At 44.2% G+C, this 27,523-nt stretch overlaps 1 protein-coding gene across 4 annotated transcripts in view, besides 1 other annotated feature; it reads left to right on the top strand.

Moving 5' to 3' along the window:
* Positions 1 to 27,523, top strand: part of PIK3AP1 (phosphoinositide-3-kinase adaptor protein 1) — a 127,200-nt gene that overhangs the window by 69,133 nt on the left and 30,544 nt on the right. For all 4 annotated transcript variants that reach the window (XM_011539248.2, NM_152309.3, XM_047424566.1 and 1 more), the window contains 5 exons: positions 2 to 134; positions 2,527 to 2,723; positions 5,720 to 5,909; positions 22,889 to 22,984; positions 24,477 to 24,674. In XM_011539248.2, the coding sequence (XP_011537550.1) occupies positions 2 to 134; positions 2,527 to 2,723; positions 5,720 to 5,909; positions 22,889 to 22,984; positions 24,477 to 24,674 (814 nt within the window). The remainder of the gene's footprint in view (position 1; positions 135 to 2,526; positions 2,724 to 5,719; positions 5,910 to 22,888; positions 22,985 to 24,476; positions 24,675 to 27,523) is intronic.
* Positions 5,841 to 5,910: an enhancer, noted in NCBI's record as "active region_3829". NCBI's record gives its function as "activates an Ori minimal core promoter by ATAC-STARR-seq in GM12878 lymphoblastoid cells {active_cell/tissue: GM12878}" and the evidence as "EXISTENCE:reporter gene assay evidence [ECO:0000049][PMID:35858748]".

Below are 27,523 nucleotides of genomic sequence, written 5' to 3'. Positions count from 1 at the left end.
GGCCTTTAAAATTGTGCCCTACAACACAGAGACCCTTGATAAACTGCTAACCGAATCCCTGAAGAACAATATCCCTGCAAGCGGACTGCACCTCTTTGGAATCAACCAGCTGGAAGAAGAAGATATGATGACAAGTAAGTTGACAGTCAAACCTCAGGAAACCAACGTGGGCTGATTCTAGCCTGCTGGTTTCAGCATCCCATCAACATACGCGTTTACCTTCTGCTGTAACTCTTCTGGGTCCCTTCTCTATAACCTATCCTGTGATAAGGACTCATTCTTGACTGGTTAGCCTCATTCTTCTCAATTGCAAATCTGAATACTTTACCCCCTTCTCAAAACACATGTGGTGGCTTACGGAGGAGCAGGAAATGAGTGATTTTAAATTGGTTTGGCGTAAGCCAATGGAGCTTGTTATGATTATTCCTCATAGGGATAGCATGAGGAACAGGTAAGCTAAGTACTGTCAGGGGAGGTTCCCAGTTGCCTTCTAGATAAAATCCAAACTGCTTAACCTGTGAACAAGCCCTCATCTCTCTCCACACTCCCTCTTGTCTTTTCTATGCTTTGATCTGCAGGAGGTATGAGCTTTTTTCACCTGTCTCTTGCCACTTAGACTCATGGAAAGATAGTCCTTCCTTCCTGCCTTGGTTGCTGTTTACCTGGCTAACTTCTCTCACTTCCCTGTAGCAGCTTAGGTAGCACTTCCCTAGAAGACCTTCTCCAAACCTCCAGTAGGTTCCATTCACCTGCTTTGGCACCCCCCGACCACCAGCATGTTGGGTGCCATTGACCTAGCACTCCTCAGCTGTGTCTGTCTTCTTTGCTAGGCTGTCCGCTCAGTGAGGGCTGGAACTGCTCCTGGGTGGCTGGCTCTTTGTAGGCTCTAAACAAGTAGTTGTTTAATGAGGGAGGAGCAGCCTCTTGTGCACATGTGACATGCTGGGAGCTGAGAGAGTCACACCCCTTGCACGGGGATGATGCTTGGTGTTCTGGACAGGATGCCTATTGTAGTGTTTCTGTGGACACCACCGTTCCTTCATGCCATGGTTGCACTACACAAATGGGACCCAAGTCTCTGGTTACCTTCTGCCTACGTTCCATCCTTCTGTAGTCTAAGAGAACCATAAGGGTGAGTTTACATGACTTTCGAGGCCTTCTCCTGGGGGACTCTCTTTCGTATTGCCTCTCCCCATTTTCCTACTATGGAATGTTCTTGCAGCACTTTTGTAGATGTGACTATTCTCTATTAAGTTTGGGGCTTAGAAGAAAGTATTTCATAGCCTGACAATTTGAGATCCTGGGAATATTTTCAGACCCTTCATTCCAAGGTCATATTTGGAATAGAAGGCTGGGTTTGTCATGTTAAAAAATATACATTTGTATATAAATGTATGTCTATAAAGTTGTTGGGCTTAAAAATAAACGTTTATGAAAAAAGAGATTTGTCCCCAGCTCCGCAAACACAAACATGTCCATTTTCTTGGTTGAGTTTAACTTGCTGTATTCAGATGTCAGTAGGTGGAGGGGGTCCGTGGGGACCCAGCACCTCTCTGGAGTACTTTGCTTTTCACCAATTAGAGAGTGAACTGACGTCCTGGTGGGGCTTGTGTGCATTAAGACCAACATTCAAAATCTCTCCTAAATAGGAACCCTGCTGAATACTATCTTACTTATCCTCCCAGGTCCTTTTGAGATAGTCTGGAAGTATTTTCTGGTTGAGAACTAAAGGCAGCGGAAAGTCTAAGGAACATACCCAGGATTACTTGGTGTACTTATCATGAAATTAGGAATAAGGGCTAAGAGGATGAACTGCTTTCTTTTAATCAGCACGAAACAATAGCTTTAAGAAATACATGCTCTGAACTTTGCAGAGAAGTTCAAAACATGATTCCTATTGTACTGTGTGGCTGCTAGTTAAGCCTTTAAACAAACCCGGCACATTTTGAACTGGTACTTTTTCTCAGGATTCTCCAGTCCTGTTAGAGAAGATGGTAGGGTATTCATTATTAGATTTGCTAATTAATTAAAATGTTATGGCCGGGTATGGTGGCTCATGCCTGTAATCCCAGCACTTTGGGAGGCCGAGGCAGGTGGATCACTTGAGGTCAGGAGTATGAGACCAGCCTGGATAACATGGTGAAGCCCCATCTCTACTCAAAATACAAAAATTAGCTGGGCGTGATGCACAGCTGTAATCCTAGCTATTTGAGAGGCTGAGGCGAGAGAATCACTTGAAACTGGGAGGCAGAGGTTGCAGTGAGCCAAGATCGCGCCACTGCACTCCAGCCTGGGTGACAGAGTGAGACTCCATCTCAACAAAAAAAATTATGTCCTCTGCATCTGAGGACATGATCTTCAGTGGTGTCCTGAAGGAAGCTGTTAGATGTTAGGTCAGTCAATCAATAAGTAATGGCTGAGTGCTTTCTGTTGCCATGCTAGTCTTGGCAGCTTCATCTCCATGAACAAGGGCACCCTGTGCCTTTATTTTTATCTGCCTATTAAGTTTTCCTTGATAATTTTCAGATCAGAGGGATGAAGAGCTGCCCACCCTGTTGCATTTTGCTGCGAAGTATGGACTGAAGAACCTCACTGCCTTGTTGCTCACCTGCCCAGGAGCCCTGCAGGCGTACAGCGTGGCCAACAAGCATGGCCACTACCCCAACACCATCGCTGAGAAACACGGCTTCAGGGACCTGCGGCAGTTCATCGACGAGTATGTGGTAAGGTCAAGGCAGGAGGGGCCCAGGATTGGAAATGCACTCTGTGGTAGTATGGCTGCCCTTTCACCCAAAATACGAACAGATTTTATCTCTAGCATGTCCTCATGTACCTCTTCTGGCCATGGGCAGTATGTGTGGGCTTAAGAAATGAGGTCTGGAGTCACATGGACCTGGGTCCAAATTCCTGTACCAACACTTGTTAGCCTTGTGACGTTGGGTAAGTCACGTATCCTCTCTCAGTTTCCTAATATGCAGAAGGAAGATAATCATAGTTTGAGTCATAGAGTTCTTTTGAAGGTAAAAGGAAATCATTTCTATTAAGCACTGAGGTTCACCCTCACAGAATTTACAGAAACCTTTATAGAGTGAATCTGCTGAAGGTAGAGGCTGATCATCTCCCCCCACCTCCTCACCTGCCTCCAGGGCACCATGGTGGGATGCTCCTAGCTGCCTCACCCGCCTTCAGGCCCCGGTGAACTGTATTAGGCTTGGTTTCTTCTTCAGCAGAAACCTCAATAAAGCTGTGCACCTGGAAAGGCATCAGGGCAGCAACTCTAAGGCCCACCTCCTGCTGACAGCCTCGCTCTCTCTTTCTAACCCCCTGCCTGGGTCCCATGTTAAGACAGGCAGGTATGCCCAGTTTATCTGATCATCTGGTTTGGGGCCCTCAGCTCCTCCTCAAACATTGACTTCTGGGTCCTTCTTTGAGGCTGATCGCACCCCACGTCTACATCTTATTCCATGCCCCAATATTGCCTCTGATGCCTAGGAAGCAGCTGCTCTTCCTGATCCCAGTCCCTCGTGGTTTTCCTCCTTCTTCACAGACTCCCAGAGGGTACCTGAGAATAGCTCAGCCTCTCGCATGGGGCTGTGACCTCACAGGGAGCAATAAACACAGCCCGGTCTTGCTCTCGACCTCCAGACAGGACAGAGCCTGATATCTCCCCAGAAACTTAACTCTCTGCTCTGTGTTGGAAAATCTACAAGACAGTGATTCACGGAGGCACAGAGGGGACTTCCCAGTGTTTACAGGTGTATAAGTGTTTTGAATAAAATGGTGTGAGTCCTTTTTTTTGGGCGTCACTGACACAAATAAGTCTAAAAGGTGCTCTCAGTCTGGGTGTATTTACTCAGTTTTTTCTTAAAGTCACAAATGTACCAAATGTAGCATTTCATTTCCATGCCAATAGTTTTTATTAATAACCTACTGTGTTCATAGTAGTAACTAGTATTTATTGAATGTATTTGATTTGAAAATGTATTATCTCATTTAATCCCCACCACAATCCTTTGAAGTTGACAGTATTGCAAGCCTTACTTTACAAAAGAGGAAAACGGCTTAGAAAGGCAAAGTCACTGTGCTTAGGGCCACAGACTATTCAGGGCAGAGACAGGATTTGCACCTAGTTTGATACTGAAGCCCGGGCTTGTTATCCTGTTGTATTTAACTGGGATGTTTAAAGATGCACTTTCATTTTGTGCCGAAGTCAATCTAGGTCATACCATCTTTGCTTTCTCCCTGTGGTCACCTTCAACCGATGCAGCTTCAGCATTGTGACCAAAAGACTGTCCCTTTGTGTTGCTTATGGCCTCTTAGAACTGTCCCATTTCCTTTTTTCACCACATCAAAACCAAAGGTGAGATCTGGAATCTCCAACATTTCACAGCTGTCATCTGTTTTATTGGGTCTCGTGAGGAAACTAACGAAGTGTCAATAAAAGATTAGCTATCTTAGGGTAGTGGTGGTGAAAATGAGGATTTTTGTGGGTTGATGCTGAAATAAGGATTGTGAAACACCAAAGTTTCTTACCAGGAAAAGTTGTGCAGAGGTTTCAGGGAAGTCACCTCTCTGGCTTCACAATCACATGGAGGCAGGATGGCAGTGGGAGGCAGGGGAGAACCTTTCTGATGTCAGGACACTTTATCCAAGATCATCTCTCCTTTTGGGCACATAGGACATAAAATCGAGGCTGGAACCCCTGGAAACTGTCAGGGTTCCTGACAGTTTGGAGGAGACTGCTGAAGGAACAGGGGCTAGTGTGCCAAGCTGCGGAGTGACCTCTGACTACACACAGGGCGAGAACACCTTAGCTGCATTCCTGTTCAGCTCATTTGAATTTCTGCGTGGCTAGTCAGTAAAGGTCACACCTTCTTGTGTCATTTTTTTCCCTTTGGAGGAACCACTAGGGTGTAGAAGAAGTATCAGAAATCAGGATTGCAAGCCCTTGAGTAAGATACTAGATTTTTGTGAGCTTTGTTTTTCTCATCTGTAAACTAGAGAATATTATACCTTTCTCAAGCAGTAGTGGAATGGATTACAGGAGATAGGGTATAGGCAAATACCTAGCATTGTACCTGACATTTAAAAGGTGCTCACGGGAAAGTATTTTTTTTTTTTTTAGACAGAGTCTTGCTCTGTTGCCCAGGCTGTAGTGCACTGGTGCGATCTTGGCTCACTGCAACCTCCACCTCCTGGATTCAAGCAATTCTCATGCCTCGGCCTCCCGAGTAGCTGGGATTCCAAGCGTGCTCCACCATGCCCGGCTAATTTTTGTATTTTTAGTAGAGATGAGGTTTTGCCATTTTGGCCAGGCTGGTCTCGAACTCCTGACCTCAGGTGATCCACTTGCCTTGGCCTCCTAAAGTCCTGGGATTACAGGTGTGAGCCACCACATCAGGCCATGGGAAAGTAATTTTTAATTTGTATCCTCTGGTCAGTGGACATTTAACGAGTATTTCCTGAGTGCCTAACTCTGTGCTTAGTGTTGTAGGAAGATACGAAGATTAAAACAAAAACGTGAAATAAACTAAAAAAGGTGGGAAGCCTGGCCTCAAGGAGCGTTCAGTCAGGTGGGAAAATACAAATACACACAACCAGTTGTAATCCTGACTCATGGGAGCCTTTACTTTGCTGGCCACAAGTGCCTTCGGGGGCCAAGTTCCACCCGGAAAGTCAGGCTGCCTCAGGGCGCCGTGGGCCTCATCTTCTCTTTCAGGAAACGGTGGACATGCTCAAGAGTCACATTAAAGAGGAACTGATGCACGGGGAGGAGGCTGATGCTGTGTACGAGTCCATGGCCCACCTTTCCACAGACCTGCTTATGAAATGCTCGCTCAACCCCGGCTGTGACGAGGATCTCTATGAGTCCATGGCTGCCTTTGTCCCAGCTGCCACTGAAGACCTCTGTAAGTAGCACAACCCAGTTCTGCTTCCACCTTTCTGCTGAGAAACAGCTTTTTTCATTCCGGATGAAGATGGCGCGGGGCAGTCCCTATGTACCCTCACTTCACCCCAGAGAGATGAAGGTCCTGTTTTACACAAAGCTAGGGCTGGAGTCATGTGCTGTGACAAGCAGAATTCTTCTCCAAACTTCCTCTGTTATGACTGCTGGGAGAGTTTAAGCAAATATCTGGAAGTCAGAATTGATGAACTCATTGCCTCGTGATCTGAGAGGCCAAATCAGTGGCTCTCAGCCCTCAGTCTCCAGGGGTCCTTTTTATAACAAACATTTTCCTACTCTGACATGAGGTTTATGTATTATATAACCTACCTACATATAAAATTCTCAGAAATCAAATATACTGCCCTAATTGAAATAGGAAAGAGAAATTAAAGAAGAGGACATACTCAAACATGCCTGCACCAGAAGTCATGACAAAAGAGTCAGATGCAGACACACTCAGAATCACGGTCAACGGCTTCAAACATTGACTGACACGTTTGCAGTCTTGGTGGCTCAAATGATGGGAATAATGTTGGCATTGGCACCTGGATTTTCCTAGATGGTGAACAACTCTTTATGATTTCCTTTCCATTTTCATAGAAATTGAATTTCTAAAAAATTAAGTGTTTGCAAAAATAAGATGTGTTTATATGTGAAACAGTTTAGGTTCTAGGCTCAGAAAATAATAAGCAGATTTTTTGGGGGGCGAGGGGTAATTTGATTTTATTGCATTAATATATAGTAAGCTTATTTTCAAAATATCATTCTTCAGGATCATGATTTTTCTTATAAACTGTCTAACAAACTTTGCCCACTTTTTATTATCTTGTTTTTTCCAATGCAAAAGTAATGCCTTTTGACAAAAGTGAATGAGCAGTAGAAGTTCCCCTCCAACACCTAAACTCAAAACAAAATAGGAATCTTTAACTGAGTTGAGAGAAGTTCTGTGACTTGTGACTCCCAGCCAATATGGCATTGGTAATAATTAGTAATAAAATGAGGTATATTTGTCTATATTTTTGCTTATATCTGCTGACATTAAATTTAAAAATACAGACATACTTGTACATATACACAGATATGTAGAAATATACACATAGGTATAAATATGTATCATACGTACTTTTTAAAACTTATGTGTATGTCTAGGGAAATATTTGAAAGTCACGAGGGACATGAAACATCTCTTCATTGGGCAGGGCTGTCCCACACATAGCAGGATGTCTAGGGTCCTTCCCCCTTTTCCTAAATGCCATCTCCTTGGTGACCACCCAAAATACCCTCATAGATTTTCCAAACGCCCCCAGGGGGCAGTGCCACCACCCTTGAGAACCGCTGATCTGGGTAACAGTGGATCTGATCTCCACGCACGTACTGGAGTTGAAGCAGGAGACCCACACAGCAGGCCCTCTAAGAGGCTTATTCATGTGTTACCATCATTCGCTACCAAATGCTAAGCATGCGGAGGCACCACCGGAGACTTAGCCCTCCTTCCCTCTGGTTTTCATTAATAGATTCAAGGAAGAGAAGTATCAACCAAGGTATCAGCATTATGGATGGGGGAATTTCTGGAATGGGCTATATTGAGTGTTACAAGCCTTCAGCCTGAAAAGAAGACAGTAGGGCCCTGGGCCCACAGGGAGGCGGGCCTGACTTTCCCATCCATGAACTCATGGAAGAGCAGGCACCAACAGGATGCCTTGGAGAGAAGGCATAGGTTGGTCAGAGGGCCAGAGGCAGTCTCTGATGCCAGCAGGCCTTTGACACTGACCCCAGAACCTGCAAGATGTGGTCCAGAGGTTGTTAGGTGTTTGCCATTCAGATTGGGTGCTCCTTTAGGGGAAAGAGCAATAAAAGCTCCTCTCCGTCACCTAACTGGGAGGCTTAGAAGTGCTGGTGGAAGCTCTTCCAGAATGAGCTGTGCCTTGGCATGGATGTGGGGAGAGAAAGCACCATCGCTACCATCCACACCCTTGATTTCGGACCTGAAGTCCGAAAGCTACCCCACTAAGATGCTTTTCTTACCTGCACTTTACAAATGGGGAAACAGAGGCACAGAGGGGCTGAACATTCCCAAAGTGTCACAGCCAATCAGTGATAGAGCCCAGATTTGAATCCAGATTTCTCTGTCATTAGGACCATATTCTGCAGAAATTGTTATCCAACACCATGCATTTTAGTCGTGGTTCCTTTTGGAAAAACCATCTAGCCTCTATAGCCTTTCTTCCCCTATCTGCAGCTCCAGATATTGGATAACAAAGCAGCCTCTGGCGCCCCCTAGCCTTGCCCATCATCCTATCCATATACCTAATAAGCATGTCTGGAGCATCTAGTACATTTCGGTTACTGATGTCTTCTGGGTGTTGGAGATACAGGCGGGGAAGTGGGTAGGACCCAGTCCTTTCCATTGTGGAATAGGGACTCACTCACAAAAGAACACTTGGAGAACCACCAGTACCCACTTGAATCTGGAGACTGCATCATCCTTTCTGCCCTGTGTCTTTGCTATGAAACTACTGGACAATTAAAGAATGCCCTACTTTATTGGCAGTTTAGTGTTGACAGAGCCTTACACTTGCTGTCCCCCTGGATGTTCTAACACATGCCATGCTCCCACCACAGCACTGGAAACCTGCAGGGAATGCCACAGGTGTCTCTTCCATTATTCCTGGTCTGCTGGGCCCCTCACAGCAGGATCAGTGAGGTTTACCAGGGCTTCCCAAGGCAGCAGTGTGCTCTGGAGCTAGCCTGGTTTGTAGCCAACTGGCAACTTGTGAAGTCACCCGGGCCAGGGGGCTTCTGGATGCCGTGTAGCTGGAAGGAGGCTACCAGCGGGGAGGCAGCCTGTCAAATTTGGCTACTTTTTGCATGGGAAAAGGAAACCCACCACATTTTTCTTTCTTTTCTTTTTCTTTTCTTTTCCTTCCTTTTTTTCTTTCTTTCTACCTTTCTTTCTTTCTTTCTTTCTCTTTTTTTCTTTCTTTCTTTCTGTTTTTTTTTTTTTTTTTTGAGACAACATCTGGCTCTATTGCTCAGGCTGGAGTGCAGTGGCACAATCTCAGCTCCCTGTAACCACTGCCTCCCCAGCTCAAGCCATCCTCCTACCTAAGCCTCCCGAGTTACTGGGACTACAGGTGTGAACCACCATGCCCAGTTAATTTTTTGTATTTTTCATATAGATGGGATTTTGTGATGTTACCCAGGCTGGTCTTGAACTTGTGAGCTCAAGCAATCCGTCTGCTTTGGCCTCCCAAAGTGCCGGGATTACAGGCGTGAGGCACCATGCCCGGCCCACATTTTTCATTTCCCCAGTTATGTGAACTCTGAATTTTCTAACTCTAGACATGGTTTGGTTTGTGTTTCTGTCTCTGTGGCGTCAAGTTTAACCTTGAGAATGATCGCTTACCTCCTGGCTCAGAAGCAGCAGCAACTTGGACCTGGGGAGGAATAATTTATTTTACTAACAGTGGCTCTGTAGGTGACAAGGCAGCTTAATTCATAAAGAAGTAGGATAAAGGACAAACTGCTAAATCTAAAATGCGTATTTGCAGCACCGCCCAGCAGAATAATAACTTGGAACATCTGGCAGCCCTTTAAAAGTCCATGGACTGCCTGTATCCCCGTGATCTCATCTGACCATCCCAGGGTTTAGTGAATAGGATGATCTCCATTTCACAGGAAAGAAAACTAAGGCTCCAAGATTTAGTAACTTACTTAAGTCCCATCAAGGGAGGACTGGATCAGGAATCTGTGTCTTCGAATTCCCAGGAGGCAAATCTGTCTGCTGTCCCACTGGAATGTAGGGCTCTCCTGGCCTGCCCTTCTAGGGTCTGCATTTGTCAGCCCTGAGAGGGACACTTACACAGGAGCTATTTCTAAATGTCTAGATTGCCACGTTTATCAGTGCCCCACCATTGACTGTGGTAACCCTGGAGGCTGAAAATAACCATATTAAGGAAATTAGGCTGTGTTCATTCACTCACTTGCTCACTCACTGATTCGCTCACAGGACAAACAGGCTTTAGGGTGGCAGGCTTTAGGCCACTTTCAGATCACTGCTTTGGAGATCACCTAACTGTTGTTGGGACAAATCTTTCTGACTTGAGTTTGGGAAAGGGGTGGTAATGAGGTTGCTTCTCCAAAGAGAATCCAAGGCAACCACCTGAGTTGGAAGCTTATAGGGGAAGCTCCCAGTGTTAATTGAAATGGGGCTGGAGAGAGGTGTTGGGTTCTGACCCTGAGATTGTACAATTCTGCTCCAATCTCTTCTTCCCCTGAACTTGCTTGCGTGGGTGTATACATGCACACGCACACACACACACACACACACACACACACACACACACACGGCACACTCACAAGTCTTTAGTTTAGATATGCTGCCACCAGGTGGTAACTACGTGTCTTGTTATCAAACCTTCAGCTTTGCTCCCAATTCTCTTAAGAATTTTTTGATCAAGGCCCCACAGATCAGCCGGGCATGGTGGCTCATGCCCGTAATCCCAGCATTTAGGGAGGCTGAGGCGGGAGGATTGCTTGAACCCAGGAGTTCGAGACCAGCCTGGGCAGCATAGCAAGATCTCGTTTCTACAAAAATTTTTTTTTTTAAATTAGCAGGGCGTGGTGGCACATGCCTGTGGTCCCAGCTACTCAGGAGGCTCTGGTGGGAGAATCGCTTGAGCCTGGGCGTTCAAGGCTGCAGTGAGCCATGACTGCACCACTGCATTCCAGCCTGGTAACAAAATGGGACCCTGTCTCAAAAATTAAAAAAAAAAGACCCCACATATTTAAAGCATCAACCTTCACACCTTATTATGTAAGAGATAAAATGTCTTTATTAAGGACAAGCTTATGCAAACATTAAATAAAACTCAAGGCAAATGTCCGTGGGTGTTTTCACTATCTCCTCATCTTTTTCTCACTTAGTTCTTTGTCCCCTGCCCTTACCTTGGAGAATGATATGGTAGTCCTGGTGGTCCCTGGACCTAGGTAATTAATTTTGTGTTGAAAGCTTGCCCAGTGACTGGTCACTTCTCTGAGGCTCTGGGTAGAATGGCCTTGGGGGGGCAGTTCTGGGAGGCCCTTGTCCAGTCTGTTTCCAGGGTAATCTGCTTTGTGGGTTGTAGCTTTGCTTCAATACCCGAGAGCCTCATTTTTCTTCCATAAAGCGAAAGGAGCGAAAAGAGAAAGGCATTATCATCTTGCCGTTAGAAACTGCAGACTCACTAATCAATCCCAGAGGACTGTTCTGCTTCATGTTACCCCTACATTGAACTTTTCTTCTGAACCCCTGATCCCTACCTCATGGTTCTGTAGCTCAAGTGTTTATGTAGTGGAGAGCTGACTTAGCTCTAGCTAACTTGCCAGCTTCCCTTAGCAACCTCCCTGGTAACTGGCATCTTTGTAACAGATCATTTCCAGCAGTGTTTTCTTTACCTGAGCTCTCTGATTACAGCCCCTCTCTGCAAGCTGGGTTCCATCTGAGCTGGGGGCACACTTGGGGACTGTAAAGGACCTCACAGCCCAGCCCTGTAGGTCTGAAACCAACTGAAGGACAATTTGTATGCAAAATGACTACATTACTGGTTTGCTTATGAAACATACTGTCTCTCCTATCTGCATCCTTTTCTCTCAGGAGCCTCCCTCCCTGTGACTGCTGAGGCTCTGTCATCCTCCTGCCATCCCTTTTGGCAAGATTCTGGCGAGTAGAGCCAAGAGATGCTTCAAGGCCCGTGGGCCTGGGTGCACAGCATGAGTTCTTACCTGCAAGGACAGAACCCACTGGGGAGCAGGGAGATGAGCTCAGTGTACCTCTTGACTTCCTGTTGCTTTTTGCTCCTCCATAAATACAAGAACTATGTTGGGGACATAGGGACTTAGTGAAAGCACACTGGATTGAATGTTTTAACATTTAAAGATAAAATCCCCATCGACAGCAGCAACCTTGCTCCCCTCTGAACCTGCACAGCTTGCAGGTCACGCTTACCTTGGGACACTGCACACACATCCCCTTGGGCTCTAGTTATATACGTGCTTCTCTGGTTACCCTCTCCTGGCCTCGATAGGAAGCATGTCTTACAGCTTTGTATCATCCACAGTGCCTATCCCAGTGCTGTACACAATAGGTGTTCAGCGATTTCTTGAATTTGAGCTACCAGAAAATAAGATGTAATTCTCGACTTTGTGGGTGGAATAGTGTGTCAGTATTCCAGTGTAAAGACCTCACCCACCTGATAGGTGGTACTGAGACATCTGTTAGGTGTCCCCGAGTGTGAGACATCTCAGGGTGGCAGTAACTCCATTGGTCACTACAAGCTGCCTTTTCTTTCATGTTCCCTTGCATTTGACTCTTCCTTCTGCCTAAATTGCCTTTCTCTTTTCTCGGCTTGAGAAATGCCCAGATTCCTTCACAAAGCCCAAATGCCTTCATATTCATGTGTTCATTTGTTTTTCCTTTATTAGTTCGTTCATTCATTCATTCAAAAATATTTTTCAAACCTCTCATGTGTTTAAATCACGCTGTGCCAGGTGATGATGAGTCAGTAAACAAGCTGGCATGAAACTTGCCTTTCAAAGCTTACATTCTAGTGAGAGAGCTGAATATTAAACAAAAACACCACATAACTGAATATATAACCACAAACTGTGACAGTGCTGTGGAGGAAAAAGACACTGCTTTGAGAATGCAGGTGGGACTGTGTTCAGGTGGGCTACCGCGTGCGACTCACTGCACAGCACCACAAATGCATCCCATAGACTCACTCCTGCATGGCAGAGGGTCTTTGTGCTTGCCAGGGGTACTGTACTGAGGCATTTGTCTGCATAAGAAAACCACAGAACTTGTTTGCAGCTTCTCCTAAACTATTTATCCGCAGCCCCTTCTTCATTGCCAATGCCAGCCATCACTCATTAGCCCTCTAATTTTACACTGCTATTCGTGTGTGTGTGTGTGTGTGTGTGTGTCTGTGTGTGTGTGTGTCTGTGTGTGTGTCTTAGTCCGTTTTCTGTTGCCATAACAGAACACCATGGACTGGGTAATTTGTAAAGAAAATAAGTTTATTTAGCTCACAATTCTGGAGGCTGGGAAGTCCAAGAGCATGGTGCTGGCATCTTGTGCATCATAACATTGTGGAAAGTATTCACATGGCAAAAGGGCAAGAGCAGGAGAGCCAGAGAGGTCTTGCTATTACAACAAAGCTACTCCTGTGATAACAAACCCACTCTCACGATAGCAACATTAATCCATTCATGAGGATGGAGGGATTAAGTTTCCAACACATGAAATTTTGGGGCACACATTCAAATCATGGCACTCTGCTCCTAGCCTCCAAAATTTGTGTCCTTCTCACATGCAAAATACATTCATTCCATTCCAGTTGCCCCAAAACTCTTAACTCGTTCCAGCATCAACTCAGAAGTCCAAAGTACGTAGCCCAAAGGCCTCAGAACCAGGAAGCTGATTGTGTAACTCTCAGTCTGAGCTCGAAAGCCTGAGAACCCAAGGGGAGAGCAGCTAGTGTATGTCCTGTAGTCCAAAGGGTGGAGAGCCTGGAGTTTGATGTCCAACCAGGAGTAGAAGAGTGTATGGCAGTGTATGCCAGCCCCTGGGGAGAGACCAGTTTGCCTTTTGTCTGTTTTTGCTCTATTAGGGCCCTCAGCTGATTAGATGATGCCTGCCTACCTTGAGGGTGGATCTTTTCTACTCGCATGCTCCTTTTCTGGAAACACCCTCACTCTAGGTATTTCCTAATATAGTCAATTTGGCACCCAAAATTGACCATCATAGGCCACGCATGGTGGCTCATGCCTGTAATCTCAGCACTTTGGGAGGCCAAAGTGGGCAGATCGCTTGAGTATAGTAGTTCAAGATCAGCCTGGGCAACATGGCGAAAACCCACTTCTAAAAAATTTTTTTTAAATTAGCCAGGCATGGTGGTGCATGCCTGTAGTTAAGGAGGCTCAGGTGGGAGGATCGCCTGGGAAATCAAGGCTGCAGTGGGCCGTGATTGCACCACTGCACTCCAGCCTGGGTGACAGAGTGGGACCCTGAATCAAAAAATAAAATAACTATCACAGAGTGTGTGTGTGTGTGTGTGTGTGTGTGTGTGTGTGTGTGTGTGATTGTATATCTCTCCCACATCTTCCTCTCCCTCTTTCTTCCATCCCATTAATTCTTTAGGGTACAGAAAAGCTAGACTTTCTTACTGACATGGTCAGTCAAACCATTCTACCTGGAGGCAAACTGACCCATTGTGTTCCAGGTTCTCTTCAAATGTTTGGCTACGATGCTCCTTGCTCTAAGGCTCTCTTTTTGGCCACAAAAGATTCTTGCTGGAGAAAAAAATTCTTTTGGCCTACTTTCAGGGTTTGAAAGCCTTTCTAGAAGAATAGTCTTTCAGTAGCTGACATTTCACTGTGTTATATACTCACTTGGTTTTCTATTAAATTAACAGCATATAATCTGGATGGAGTTTCCACTGCAGCTAAGTGGTCTGTGTCCCAGGAGGAGTATCATATGGGTGTCTTTGAGAATTCACTATTGCTGTTGATTCATTCTTTAATTAAGTGCCTGCCTGGGTGTTCTCTCACTGTTCAAGCTTCTTGCATTCCAGGAGTGGGTTCTTTCTGGCTGACTCCTCAAGTACAGTGCAGTGTGACTCTATAGCTGGCTTTTCCAGAAGGAGGCTGTGGCCCCAGAGTCTCCTTATCATTGTTGTTGTTTTTCTTTGCTGAAATGAAAGAACTTTGCACTTTCTCCTCAGACCGGCAGGTTTCAGTACATGTTGGTTTATTTTTAATTTGCAAGTCATGAAGTTTAAGTGCTTGGGATCTGAAGTACAAGCCCTGAGCATCCAGGAATGCAGGGATTTGTTCTGATTTCCCTCCCAAAATGCTCTTTGTCTAGAAACAGACTCCCTTCACTTAACAGAGTTTTCTGTGTAGTTCACTGTATGCCCGGGTTATGTGTACATGTGGGGTTGTCATATTTAGAGCCTGAGAGGGTTTTATCACTCATTAACTCCAGGTAACCAGGTACCTTTTAAAAAAGTGTTATTACAAAGATAATATGTGCTACTACCAGGACTTAGTGCCTAATTAGGTATGGAAAAGAGCATTTTAAAAATAATTTCACATGCCAAGGCCAGTTGGCCAGTATTTTTTTCTTTTATAATTTTTTTTAATTTTTGTATTATTTTATTTATTTATTTATTTTTTCTGAGACGGAGTCTTGCTCTGTCACCCAGACTAGAGTGCAGTGGCACAATCTTGGCTCACTGCAACCTCTGCCTCCCGGGTTCAAGCAGTTTTCCTGCCTATCCTCTCTTTAGCTGAGATTACTGGTGCACGCCACCACGCCTGGCTAATTTTGTTGTTGTTGTTGTTTGTTTTTAGTAGAGACGGGGTTTTACCATGTTGGCCAGGCTGGTCTCAAACTCCTGACCTCATGATCCACCCCCCTCGGCCTCCCAAAGTGCTGGGATTACAGGCGTGAGCCACCGTGCCCGGCCTAGTTTTCTTTTTCTTTTTTTGAGATGGAGTCTCGCTCTGTTGCCCAGGCTGGAGTGCCGTCGTGCAATCTCAGCTCACTGCAACCTCTGTCTCCTGGGTTCAAGCAATTCTCCTGCCTCAGCCTCCCAAGTGGCTGGGACCACAGGCGCCCACCACCACACCCAGCTAATTTTTGTATTTTTAGTAGAAATGGGGTTTTGCCATGTTGGCCAGGCTAGTCTTGAACTCCTGACGTCAGGTGATCCTCCTGTCTTGGCCTCCCAAAGTGCTGGGATTACAGACATGAGTCAGCGCACCTGTAATAAATACTGGCCCCAGTTGGCCAGTATTGAGTGCCTGGGTGCTGTGTTGAAAAGGACAGAAAGAATGCTATGATTGGTAGTGATGTTTGCCACGAAAATGGAATAGGGGCACGGAGGCCCATGTATGGCATCTGCTGTTCCTGGTCTACAAAGATATTTATGTTCAACTAAAGATTTTTAAAAATCATTTTCTTTATAATATAAATGGAAAAATCATTTTTGGGTAACTTCTTTTAAGGCAGTGCACATCTAGAGACTCAATAATGTCTATATCAGAACAAGGCTACCCAGTTTGTGTGTAAACATGATGGACTCACTTGAGTGTGCCCTAATTTCTGTCCTCTCTTTCCTTCACTGGCCCAGTATGGGAAGGAAATTCATGGCAAGCTGACTGTGCCTGATGCTTGGGTCCCTCTTGGGAGGCAGAATAATGCCCCTGAATCTGTATGTATGCTAGGTTACATGGCAAAGGAGAATTAAGATTACAGATGGAATCAAGGTTGCTAATCAGCTGACTTCAAGATATGGAGAAAATCCTGGATCACCTTGGTGAGCCCAATATAATCAAAAAGGTCCTTAAAAGTGGAAGAGGGCGTCAGAAAACAGACCAGAGAGACGGCATCAGTGGGAGGACTCAGTTCAGCTAAGCTTTCTGCCCAATATTGCTAGGCTTGAAGATGGCAGAAGACGGCCTAGTGCTAAGGAGTGCAGGTGGCCTCTAGAGTCTGGAAAGGACAAGGAGACAGATCCTCCTCTATAGCTTCCAGAAAGGAATGCAGCCCTGACAAAACCTTGACTTTGACCCAGTGAGACCTATTTCAGACTTCTGAGCCACAGAACTCTAAGATAACAAATTTAAGTTGTTTTAAATGGTAATTTGTCATAGCAGCCACAGAAAACTAATATACCAACTAAGTTGCCTCAATATAATAATAATGATACCCATGAAAATGTAGTGCCTGGCACTGTTAGTAAGCATTTTGTAAGCATTGTCTCCTGTGGCCCCAATGATCATCATATGAGGTAGGTACTGTTACTTATCCTCACTTTACAGATGGAGATATAGAAACTTAGTGATGTCAAGTGACTTGCCCAAGGACACAGAGCTAGTAAGAGTCAGAGCCAGGGCTCGGACCCAGGTCTCCAAGATATCAAAGTCCATGCTTCTGATCGTGATGCCGACCTGCACTGGTTGCTCAGTGGCCATCACCTGGGTCTCTATTAATTGCCTGGTTTCAGCTGCTGCCTTTCTCTGACTTAAGTTTGTTCCCTGCATGCAGTCTGTTCAATTGACTCTAGCCCTTGTCCGTACCTTTACTCCTGACTTCGGGTCTTCCCCTGTGTCTGGAGACCACCCCCTCTCTCCTCCCTGCACCTTTGCCCCCATCATGTTCTTCCAGCCGTGCCTCGGATCGTCTGGCTTTAGGCTCTGTCCTGAAGGTTGGCCTCTCGCTATGGTCCTGGTGGCACGGAGTGGTGCCAGCAGGGGTGAAAGAGCTGTTGGAATTGCCCCTTGGTGTTCACTTTTGGGCCACCAATAAAGAGTGTGATAGGTGTCAGGGAAGTGTAAGGCAAATGGGCATGGGAGCTCCAAGTCTGGTCTGGACCACAGTGGCAGACCCTTCACCAAGGAGGGAAGAAGCCTGCTGGCTCTATCAAGCCAGTACTTAGTGTCCAGAAGCCATGATAAAGAAAATGCACCTGGCTAGCCTTGTCTGTGAGTCAGATTTCCATAAATAACTCTATTGTAAAGAATTGATGTTTGTTGTCTGAAGATTCCTCCCTTACTTTAGGTATATTCAAATATAAATATATTGAGTAGGCATAGTTTTTACTAGGCTAAATATAATAATGAAGTATTTGAGAATATGTGTAGAAATTCAAATATTACAATGAACTCATAAGCATTCATTACTTTGAAGGCAGAAAACTTGGGTTCAGACAAATAAAGGTCCTGTTTAAAGAAGTGTAAATTGAATCCTCTTTTTTGAATTGTTCTCTGTTTAGGACATTAGCCTGGGTATAGAATTTAACAATAAAAATAATAATAATAGTAATAATAGTAGCTAGCATTCCTTCAGCACTTCCTATGTGCTAGATACTGTGCTAAGCACTTGGCAACCTCCTAATTTAATACTCATGACAAACCTGGGAGATACGTACTATTACTATCACCATTTTACAGACAAGAAGAGAGAGAAGCTGAGAGGATTTTAAAAACTTGGCCCAAGATAATTATGGGCAAAGAGAAAATATAATAGCTATAATTTCCCTTTCTGCATAAGATTTTGACCTTCAGTTGACTTCCTAGCTCTGTTACCCCGGTAACCTGGTAAGAGCCAAATGTCAACTATGTTTCCAGGCAACATTGCCTACAATAAAAATGGCTCCTGATTGGTAAATTGCATCTGGAACTGGGAGGATCTGTACAGGAACTAGAAATACTTGAAAGGGACAGCATTCTTTGGGCTTTCCTGAGGGCATTGACTCTGGCATACCTCTCATGGTGACCCTGGAAGCTCCGCCTCTGGAGTTGCTATGAGAGAAATTGCTCTTGTAGGACATGAGGTTTTTCACCAGCGTGGCCTGCTATGGATCTTGTCTCTTTGCATCTGAGTTGCTGATCAGATGCAAGGACTGGCTCAAAGGAAGACCAGCTCTCTTCACTGCCCTGCTAGCTTGTGTCCTTTATCTTTGTGAGTGGACTGGTGCCAAGCATGTCCCAGGGTCATCTTGTGAGTCTGAATGTTCGATTGAACCTAAAAATACTGGTTGGTGTTGGACTGGTGGATGTGTAGTCAATACAGCCAGAAGTGGGAAAAACACAATTGGAACCTATGCATTGCGATCCTAATGCCCACGCTTCTAATCATCCTGTGAGACACTCTCAGGGAGGCTCAAGGAGGCCAAAGAACTCTACCAAGTCACAGAGCTGATATTTAGCCACCTACATTGTTGCTTCCAAAATCTTGCTCTTAACCACCAGTTAAGGTGTGACTGTAAAGTAAAAATATTTGTTTTTCACAAGTGGTTCATTTAGCACCATCTCGATCATTGCATCCACACACATGTGCTCCACAGTGTCTGTGGAAGGTACTTAGCTTGATAGTGTAGGCAGACAGAAAGGAGGATCATGGGGTCATCCTCAGGAGCTATGATTATTTAGTTTTGCTATAGTGGTTCCTCCTCTCCTTTTTGTAAAAAAAAAAAAAAAATTATTTTGAAATACTTTTAGAGAGAAAAGTTGCAAAAACATCAGAGTTCTTACATACCTTTCACTCAGGCTCCCGTAGTATTAACATCTTACATAACCATAGTACAATTACCAAAGGCAGGGAATTACACTGGCACAATACTTCTAACTAAATTATAGACCTTGTTCAAATTTCTCTAGTTGTGCCACTGATACTCTTTTTCTGTTCCGTGCTCCTTTCTAGGATCTTACAATGCATTTAGTTATTTCTTCTCAGTCTCCTTCGGTTTGCAGCAGTTCCTCAGTCTTTCCTTGTCTCGATACTTTTGAAGAGCACTGATCAGTTATTTTGTAGAATGCTCTTCAGTTTGAGTTTGTCTGATGTTTTCTATAATTGGGCTGAGGTTATGAATTTTTGTCAAGAATGCCATAGAAATGATGCCCTTCTTGGTGGAAGGAGTCATGATGTTCTTAAGTCTCATTACTGGTGCTCATTCTTTTCTGTTTTATTTTATTTTGTTTTATTTTTGTTTTGTTTTGTTTTTTGAGACAGAGTCTTGCTCTGTCACCCAGGCTGGAGTGTAGTAGTGTTAATCCCAGCTCACTGCAGCCTCCGCCTCCTGGGTTCAAGCTGTTCTCCTGCCTCAGCCTCCTGAGTAGCTGGGAGTACAGGTGCGCTCCACCATGCCCAGCTAATTTTTGTATTTTAGTAGAGATGGGGTTTTGCCATGAGGCTGGTCTCAAAACTCCTGACCTCAAGCAATCCACCCGCCTTGGCCTCCCAAATTGCTGGGATTACAGGCATGAGCCACTGCACCTGGCTTGTTCTTTTCTCTTTTTAAGTTCTTTCTTTAACTCCTCCCCAAATGAGCACATTAGGAAAGGGGTTATAGTACCCAAAGTGGAAGTCTGCATCCATATATATGAGCATGCCAGGCCCAGCCAGGACTGCTCTTCCTTCTACTATTTTCCTCCACATTTTATTTCCCTAAATTCTCTTTATAGCTCCTTCAGTTTTGCACCTACCTCTCCGACATGCAAATCAACTCTCTCAAATTGAACGTTGTTAGTGAAAATAGCTGGACCATTGCATGAGGCTTTTACCACTCTGTCAACAGGGTTGACAGATTGTGTGAGGTTTGCACTCTGATATTATCAGCCTGGGACATTTGGTGATTAGTGATTAAAATGGTCCTGAGGTTGCTATGCCCTGGAGAAGGTTCTTGGAGATGCTGGGGCCTGAGACAGGTATGGTTTTCTAGAGGGTTCAGCACTGGGCAGTATAAAGCTGGACCACAGGGCTGTGGAGTTTCTCCCTCCCCTCATCTTTAGGGGTGTCTGACCCGAGCATGTCTTCCCTTGGGGGTAAGTTCCTTGGTGCTTCATTGTTGGGTTAATGATGAGTTTCAAACTGAAGTTTCAAAAATTAACTGGGCCCAAGGTCAGGCAGGTGGGAGTGGAGATTGGGGTAAGAATTGGGAAGAAGGAAGGCAGTACAGAGTCTTGGTCAGGTAGAAGAGGGTCCTGCTCTTAGCAGGGCACACACCTGTAGAATATGTGTTCCTTCCCATCTTTCTTTTCTTTTTTTGAGACAGGGTTTCACTGTGTCACCCAGGCTGCAGTGCGGTGGCGTGATCCTAACTCACTGCAGCCAGATCTCTTGGGCTCAAGCAATTCTCCCACCCCAGCCTCCTGAATAGATGGGGCTATAGGCCTGCACCACCATGCCCAGCCAATTTTTTTTTCTTTTTTTTTTTAATAGAGACAGGGTTTCTGTGTGTTGTCCAGGCTGGTCTTGAACTTCTGGGCTCAAGCGATCTTCCTGCCTCAGCCTTCCAAAGTGCTGGGATTACAGGTGTGATACCCTGTGCCCGGCCTCCAGTTTTCTAACTCCATGAGGAAAATGTTCCGTGAAACACAATTAAGCAAATTAAACTGAAAGTCTCATATAAGTAGAATTTTTCTGGTCTTGAATTTTTAAAGAATGAATTAGGCGTGAGTTCTTATCAGAATATGTTTAAAATAATGAATGCATCTCTAGGTATGCTTCAGGATTAGTACAATTACCCTAAACTTTCTAGTCTGTTATGGAATTCAGTGGTGACAAGAACAGGCGGGCGGGATTCATTTACTGGTTCCTCATTTGGAATCGTAGTGCCCTGAACTGGAGGACATCAAGGTACATTATATTTATGTAACGCGTCCACTATGCCAGGAGACATAAACTGAAGAAGTAGAAATAAGGAGGTTGTTTTTTGTTTGTGTGTTTTTTGGATAATAAGGTAACAAAAACATGTCAGAATACTGCATTTCTTTATTTTTTCGAATAGGCTGAAAAGCTAAAATATAAGAAGATGAACAGTGGAATATCTTTCTGTATTACTTATCCCCATCTTTTCAGTTCCCAGAAAACCACTGATATTAATTTCTTATATCTCCTTCCAGGGTTTCTTTTCTTTTCTTTTTTCCTTTCTTCTTCTTCTTCTTCTTCTTCTTCTTTTTTTTTTTTTTTTTTTTTTTGGTTGTTGTTGTTATTGAGACAGGGTCTTGCTCTATCGCCCCGGCTGGAGTGCAGTGGCATGATCACAGTTCATTGCTGCCTTGACCTCCTTGGCCCAAGCAATCCTCCCAGTTCTGCATCCCAAGTGGCTGGGACCACAGTCAGGTGCCGCTATACCTTGCTAATTTTTTCTGTCTTTTTTTTTTTTTTTTTTTGTAGAGATGGGGTCTCACTGTGTTGCGTAGGCTGGACTCGAACTCCTAGGCTCAAGTGATCCTTCTGCCTTGGCCTCCCAAAGTGTTGGGATTAAAGTTGTGAGCCACCATGCCTGGCCCAGAGTTTCTTTTTTATGTATATAAGCAAATATGAAAATAGAATCTAATTTTGCCCCCTTTGGGTAGCATATTAATTATCTAGTATATTGTATTTTTTGAAGATTCTGAATCTTCAGATTCATCAGAATCTTCAAGAATATGTATTTCCTTTTTATTCCTTTATGTCAGATTTTTTTAAAATTAAATAATATGGTTCCAGTTATAGTCCTCTATTAACCCCCTCCGGAATCCAGTTATCCTCTCTCCCTCTCCATAGGTAAACCACTTCCAGAAATTCATTATTTATCATTCCCAGCATATTTGTGTGTTTACTGCATATTTATGAATTCATAAACAATTTGTACTATATTTTTGTAGGCCTTAGAACCTTATATAAACAATATCATACCATGACACCTGTCTGTAACTTTTTCACTCAACATTATGTTTTTGAAAAGTAACTATGTTGATAGAAATAGCTTCAGTACATTGTTTTTAATTGTTACATAATGTTCCATTGTTTGAATAGACCACAATTTGTAAACCAGGCATGGTGGTGCATTTCTGTAATCCTAGCTACTTGGGAGGCTGAGGCGGGAGGATGGCTTGAGGCCAGGAGTTCGAGGCTGGAGTGTGCTGTAGTTGTGCCTGTGAATAGCCACTGCACTCCAGCCTGAGACCTTGCCATATATATATATATATATACACATATATATATATATATATGTATATATATATATGTGTATATATGTGTGTGTGTATATATATGTTTATATGTATATATAAAACACAATGTATTCCTGCTTCCATTTTTTTCTGTAATAAACAATGGGATGATGTAGTATGTCAAAATTGAACCCATTCTTTCAAATGCAAATAAGCATATCTTTACCCTTTGAGACCTGTGGTGCAAGGAAGAGCCTGAGGGTTGGGCACGTTGCTCTCTTTTATGCCTCACACTTACTGGGTGTCCTTGAGTAGGTGGATGGATGGAGGGATGGATAGATTGATGAATGCTTGAATCTCTTAAGAGAGTTGCCAAACCTCATAGTTCCATCTGTAAAAATCTCCTTGCCTGTGGAGGAGACCAATATATAACTCTTAGTCTCCTTTTCCTTCTAGATGTTGAAATGCTTCAGGCCAGTACATCTAACCCAATCCCTGGAGATGGTTTCTCTCGGGCCACTAAGGACTCTATGATCCGCAAGTTTTTAGAAGGTAAGTCATAGCCATGAGCAGGGAAGCCAAAAGAGCAAAAGAGAAACAAATGCAAGACATTGTCTGGTTCTCTATGAGGGTTGCTCCCCTCAAGGAATGGGCTGCTGCATACATGGCATGTGATGTGAATAAAGGCACTCTGCCTCCCCCGACCCCTCTACCCTGAGCTCCCCCGTCAGCCCTTTAGAGGTGGGCCAGGAGTTCCAACCAGTGGAGCCACTTGTTTGGGTAAACAAGTTGCCTCTAGTTTTTTTTAAATGCATCTGTTGTTTTTATTTGGCCAAAATTTATTGAGTACTTACTATGTGCAAATCACTGTTCTGGATGTTGGGGCTGGAGATACAAAGGAAAATAAGATATGATCAATGCCCTCAGGAGACTTTACTTGCTGGTGAAGGAGGCAAATATAAACAAAGATACTAAGTTGAGGCTGTGTTGTATAGTGGTTAGGAAGATTAACTCTGATCTATTCTCAATTTTCCCATCCAGTTAGCTGGAAAACCTTAGGCAAGTTATTCAAGTCCTCTGGGACTCAGTTTCCTCCGTTGTAAAATGAGATAAATGTTGTGATAATTAAATGAGTTATTATGCATTAGGTCTCAGAGCACCACCATGCACATAACAAGCAGTTAATGAAGATTTATTATTGTTGTTATTATTACTGAAGGTTTCAAAGGTGGAGGATGTTAAATTGCGTGGGTAATTCTTTAACCCTGTCCAATCATTTGCAATGTATGGTGGGGTCTGTTGATCAAGTAGATATAGAAAGCAGAGTGCTAAGAGGATGGGACTCAGAAGGGGACAAAAGTCATTTTCACAGTGAAGAGGAAGGAAAAAACTCTAAAGCAGTGGTAGACAAACCACAGCCTGGCCATCTGCCTGTCTTATAAATAAAGTTTTATTGGAACACAACAGGACCGTTTATTTAGTATTATATATGGCTGCTTTCATGTCACAAGAGCAGTTGAGTACCTGCAACAGACTTTATGGCCTGCAAAACTTGAAATATTTACTATTTGGATCTTTAAAAAAATGTGTGCTGACCCCAACTCTAGAATGAAAAGTTTCCCTGAGAGGGGAGTCTTGGGCAGTCTGTTTCAAGCCCTAGATAAGAAGTACCACTTTTATTGGACAGTTGGCAGTGAACGCCCCACCTTTCTTAACTAGGGCTTTGACAGTTAGTCCCATCTAGGACTTTCCCTAGTTCTAATGGGATGAATAACTGAATCCCAGCAGTAAAACAGAGATGATAAAGCCTTGTGCTCATGTCCTTTCACTGCATCGCTGGGTGTCAATGGAGGTGACATGAGTGTTTTCTCAGTTGCTTTGTGTGGTGTTCTGAGCAGACGATACAGGAAGTGATATTGGGGAAAGTCCTTTGCCAGGGGGCAGCACTGAGGAAACAAAGTAAGGTCCCTCACTCTGCTTTATGACTGATGATCACCCAGTTTGTTTGGCCACTGCTTTCAGTCACCTTTCTCTGCGTTTCTAGGCAACAGCATGGGAATGACCAATCTGGAGAGAGATCAGTGCCATCTTGGTCAGGAAGAAGATGTTTATCACACGGTGGATGACGATGAGGCCTTTTCTGTGGACCTGGCCAGCAGGCCCCCTGTCCCAGTGCCCAGACCAGAGACCACTGCTCCTGGTGCTCACCAGCTGCCTGACAACGAACCATACATTTTTAAAGGCAAGTATGGCAGGGAATGATGTCCAACTGGGTCTTTGGAGCTTCTCAACAGGGATTTCCTGGATGACCTGGCTTTTTGAACCATTGCTCAGAGACTATCCCCTTCTAAATGGTCTTCAACCAGCCCTACGAGACAGGGTCATATCTTGGGACAGATTCTGGAGCTAGAATAGGAGTAATGACCAGAGTCAGTGCTGGCCTTCCTGGAAGTATTTACGCACAGTTGCAAAGGCAGGTAAACAAGACCCCTGATATATTTTTATCTCCTGAAACCCTTCTTGATATTATTATGAAATTTGAATTGCTAACATTTATTGAAATCTATCAAGAATGCTCTATCTGGAACACGCCATTTAATCTTTACAATAACCTATTAGGTAAGGACCATTATTATCTCATTTTACAGATGAGGAAATAGAGGTTTTACAGAGGTCATTCAACCATTGCATAGCAAAGCCAAAATCAGGGAGTCTGATTTCACAGCCCTGGCTTTTAGCCATTATGCTAGGCTGTCCATCTACCCATGTTATTAAAAATTAAGGTTTTGACTTCTTAATCATCCCTGGGACATTAGTTAGATACTGATAGCATTGTTAGTTTCACTATTTTTTCGACTCGATTGCAATAATATGGTTACAAGTACTATAAGAGTATTAGAAATAGGAGGAGGGGTGGCTCATACCTGTAATCCCAGTACTTTGGGAGGCTGAGGCAGGCAGATTGCTTGATCCCAGGAGTTTGAGACTGGCCTGAGCAGCATGGCAAAACTCCGTCTCTACAAAAAATACAAAAAATTATCCAGGTGTGATGGCCCGCACTGAGTCCCAGCTACTCAGGAGGCTGAGGTGGAAGGATTGCTTGAGCCTGGGAGGTGTAGGTTACAGTGAGCCGAGATTGAGCCACTGCATTCCAGCTTGGGCGACAGAGCAAGACTCTGTCTGAAAAAAGAATAAATAAGAATTGCCAGATCTGTGCTCTGGAACTATATTCTATTTTTCAATGGTATCATCATGTTGTTGGAGGTGTGGCAAAAGGGAATTATAAATTGGGGAAGGTAGCATTCACCCAGAGCCCTAGGTAGTTGGGTTGGGGTTACCAGATAAAATGCAGGATGCCCAGTTGACTTTGAATTTCAAATAAATGGCAAATGAGTTTTTAGTGTATGTCCCAAATAGTACACACATTTTTGTTTTGTGAAATCCAGCAACCCTGAACTGGGTAGGAATACAGTTGTGAGATATTATGTACTGCCAGGTGCTGTCAGTGCTTGTGGCCTGCAGTCTCCTTGGGTATTATCTCCTTGGCATGAGCAGCAGACACTGTTGTTTTCTTGCCCATGTCCCTCTAGCCCTTTGCATTTCTGTGCTCATTGGCTGGACCCTACCTGTCAGCATCTGTGTCTTGCAGCCTGAGGGCTTCCTCTGGCACCTGGCACCTTCTCTGCCCTCTTATAGGACAGGTTGAAAGCACTGGGGAATTAACACACGGAGTTGCTGCCCTCAACCAGTGCCTGACAGGAGGTATGGATGAGTGCCCCAGCTTACTTGCATCCTCCGGTGGGAGAATTCTTAGTTGCGCATTCTACATTGTGTTCTAGTCATTCCTAGGTTGCCCGCAGTGTAACTTGCTTGATAGCCCACCATTCATTGCACCATCCGCTTCCCCGTCTCACCTCCATCACCTCTCAAATAGACAACTTGCACTTGAATCCTTGTCTCGGGTTCTGCTTCTGAGGGAACTCAATCTAAGAAGCATGCAAATATATGCTGGTAATTCCTAAATAGCAGAGGGAGTAGGGAACCGTACTGATGGCATGGCTCATTGTAGGGAGGTGTTTGGACAGGGGCACAGGTGATTCCTCAAGAGCCCTGATGGACTTGCTAGGAAACTGTGGAGAAGCGAAGGAAAGGAGAGAGGCAGGAGATGACAAAAGGGGCAATGGCTTGGATGCCAGAACACCTGGGTTCATCTCTCAGCTCTTGCATTTTCCAGCTGTTCAGCATAGGATATTGGGTAAGTCATTTCACCTTTCTTTTTTTTTTTTTTGAGACAGGGTCTTGCTGTGTTGCCCAGGCTGGTCTTGAACTCCTGTGCTCAAGCAATCCTCCTGCCTCGGCCTCCCAAAATGCTGGGATTATGGGCATGAGCCACCATGTCTGGACCATTTCACCCTTTTTAGCTTTAGTTTCCTCATCTATAAAATGGATATTGTAATAATACACGTATAGATTAATACATGTCCTAATAATACATACTAATACTCTGCCATAGCCTTATTGCGAAGGTCAGATGAAATAATACAGAAGGAAGTACTTTACAAACTGTAAGGCATTGTAGAGCCATCCCTTGGGTTAACTAGCATGCCAAGGTATTGCTGACTATTGGCAACAGTCTCAAAGTTTAGATATGAATAATTATAATAAAAGCTAACACTGAGTGTTTACATGGGCCACACACTGTTCTAAGCACTTTCCATGTATTAACTCATTTAATCTTCATCACAACCAGTGAAAGAACTATTATCATCCTCATTCTACAGATAAGAAATAGGGACAGGAAGAGGTCAAGCCACTTGTCCAAGATCATATGGTTCACAAGCCACAGAGCTAGTATTTGGACTCAGAGAGCCTCTTTCAGAGCCCAGGGAGCCATAATCACCATGTCATCTTACCACTAAGTGAGATTTTGTCATGTCCCAGTTTTCTCTCCTAACCTTCATGAATCTGTCCCTCGTAAGTGACTTCACCTTAATCTCTTTGGAGCTGTGCACACATTTTGCTGTTCTACTGCTTAGAGTTCTGTCTTATGGCACTAGCTGGCATTTTAAGTGGTACTTCCTTTTATTCTCT

Source organism: Homo sapiens, chromosome 10 (genome assembly GCF_000001405.40).
Source record: "Homo sapiens chromosome 10, GRCh38.p14 Primary Assembly".
Taxonomy (NCBI): domain Eukaryota; kingdom Metazoa; phylum Chordata; class Mammalia; order Primates; family Hominidae; genus Homo; species Homo sapiens.
The sequence above is the reverse complement of the archived record's forward strand: the minus strand, read 5'-3'. Positions and strand labels throughout refer to the sequence as shown.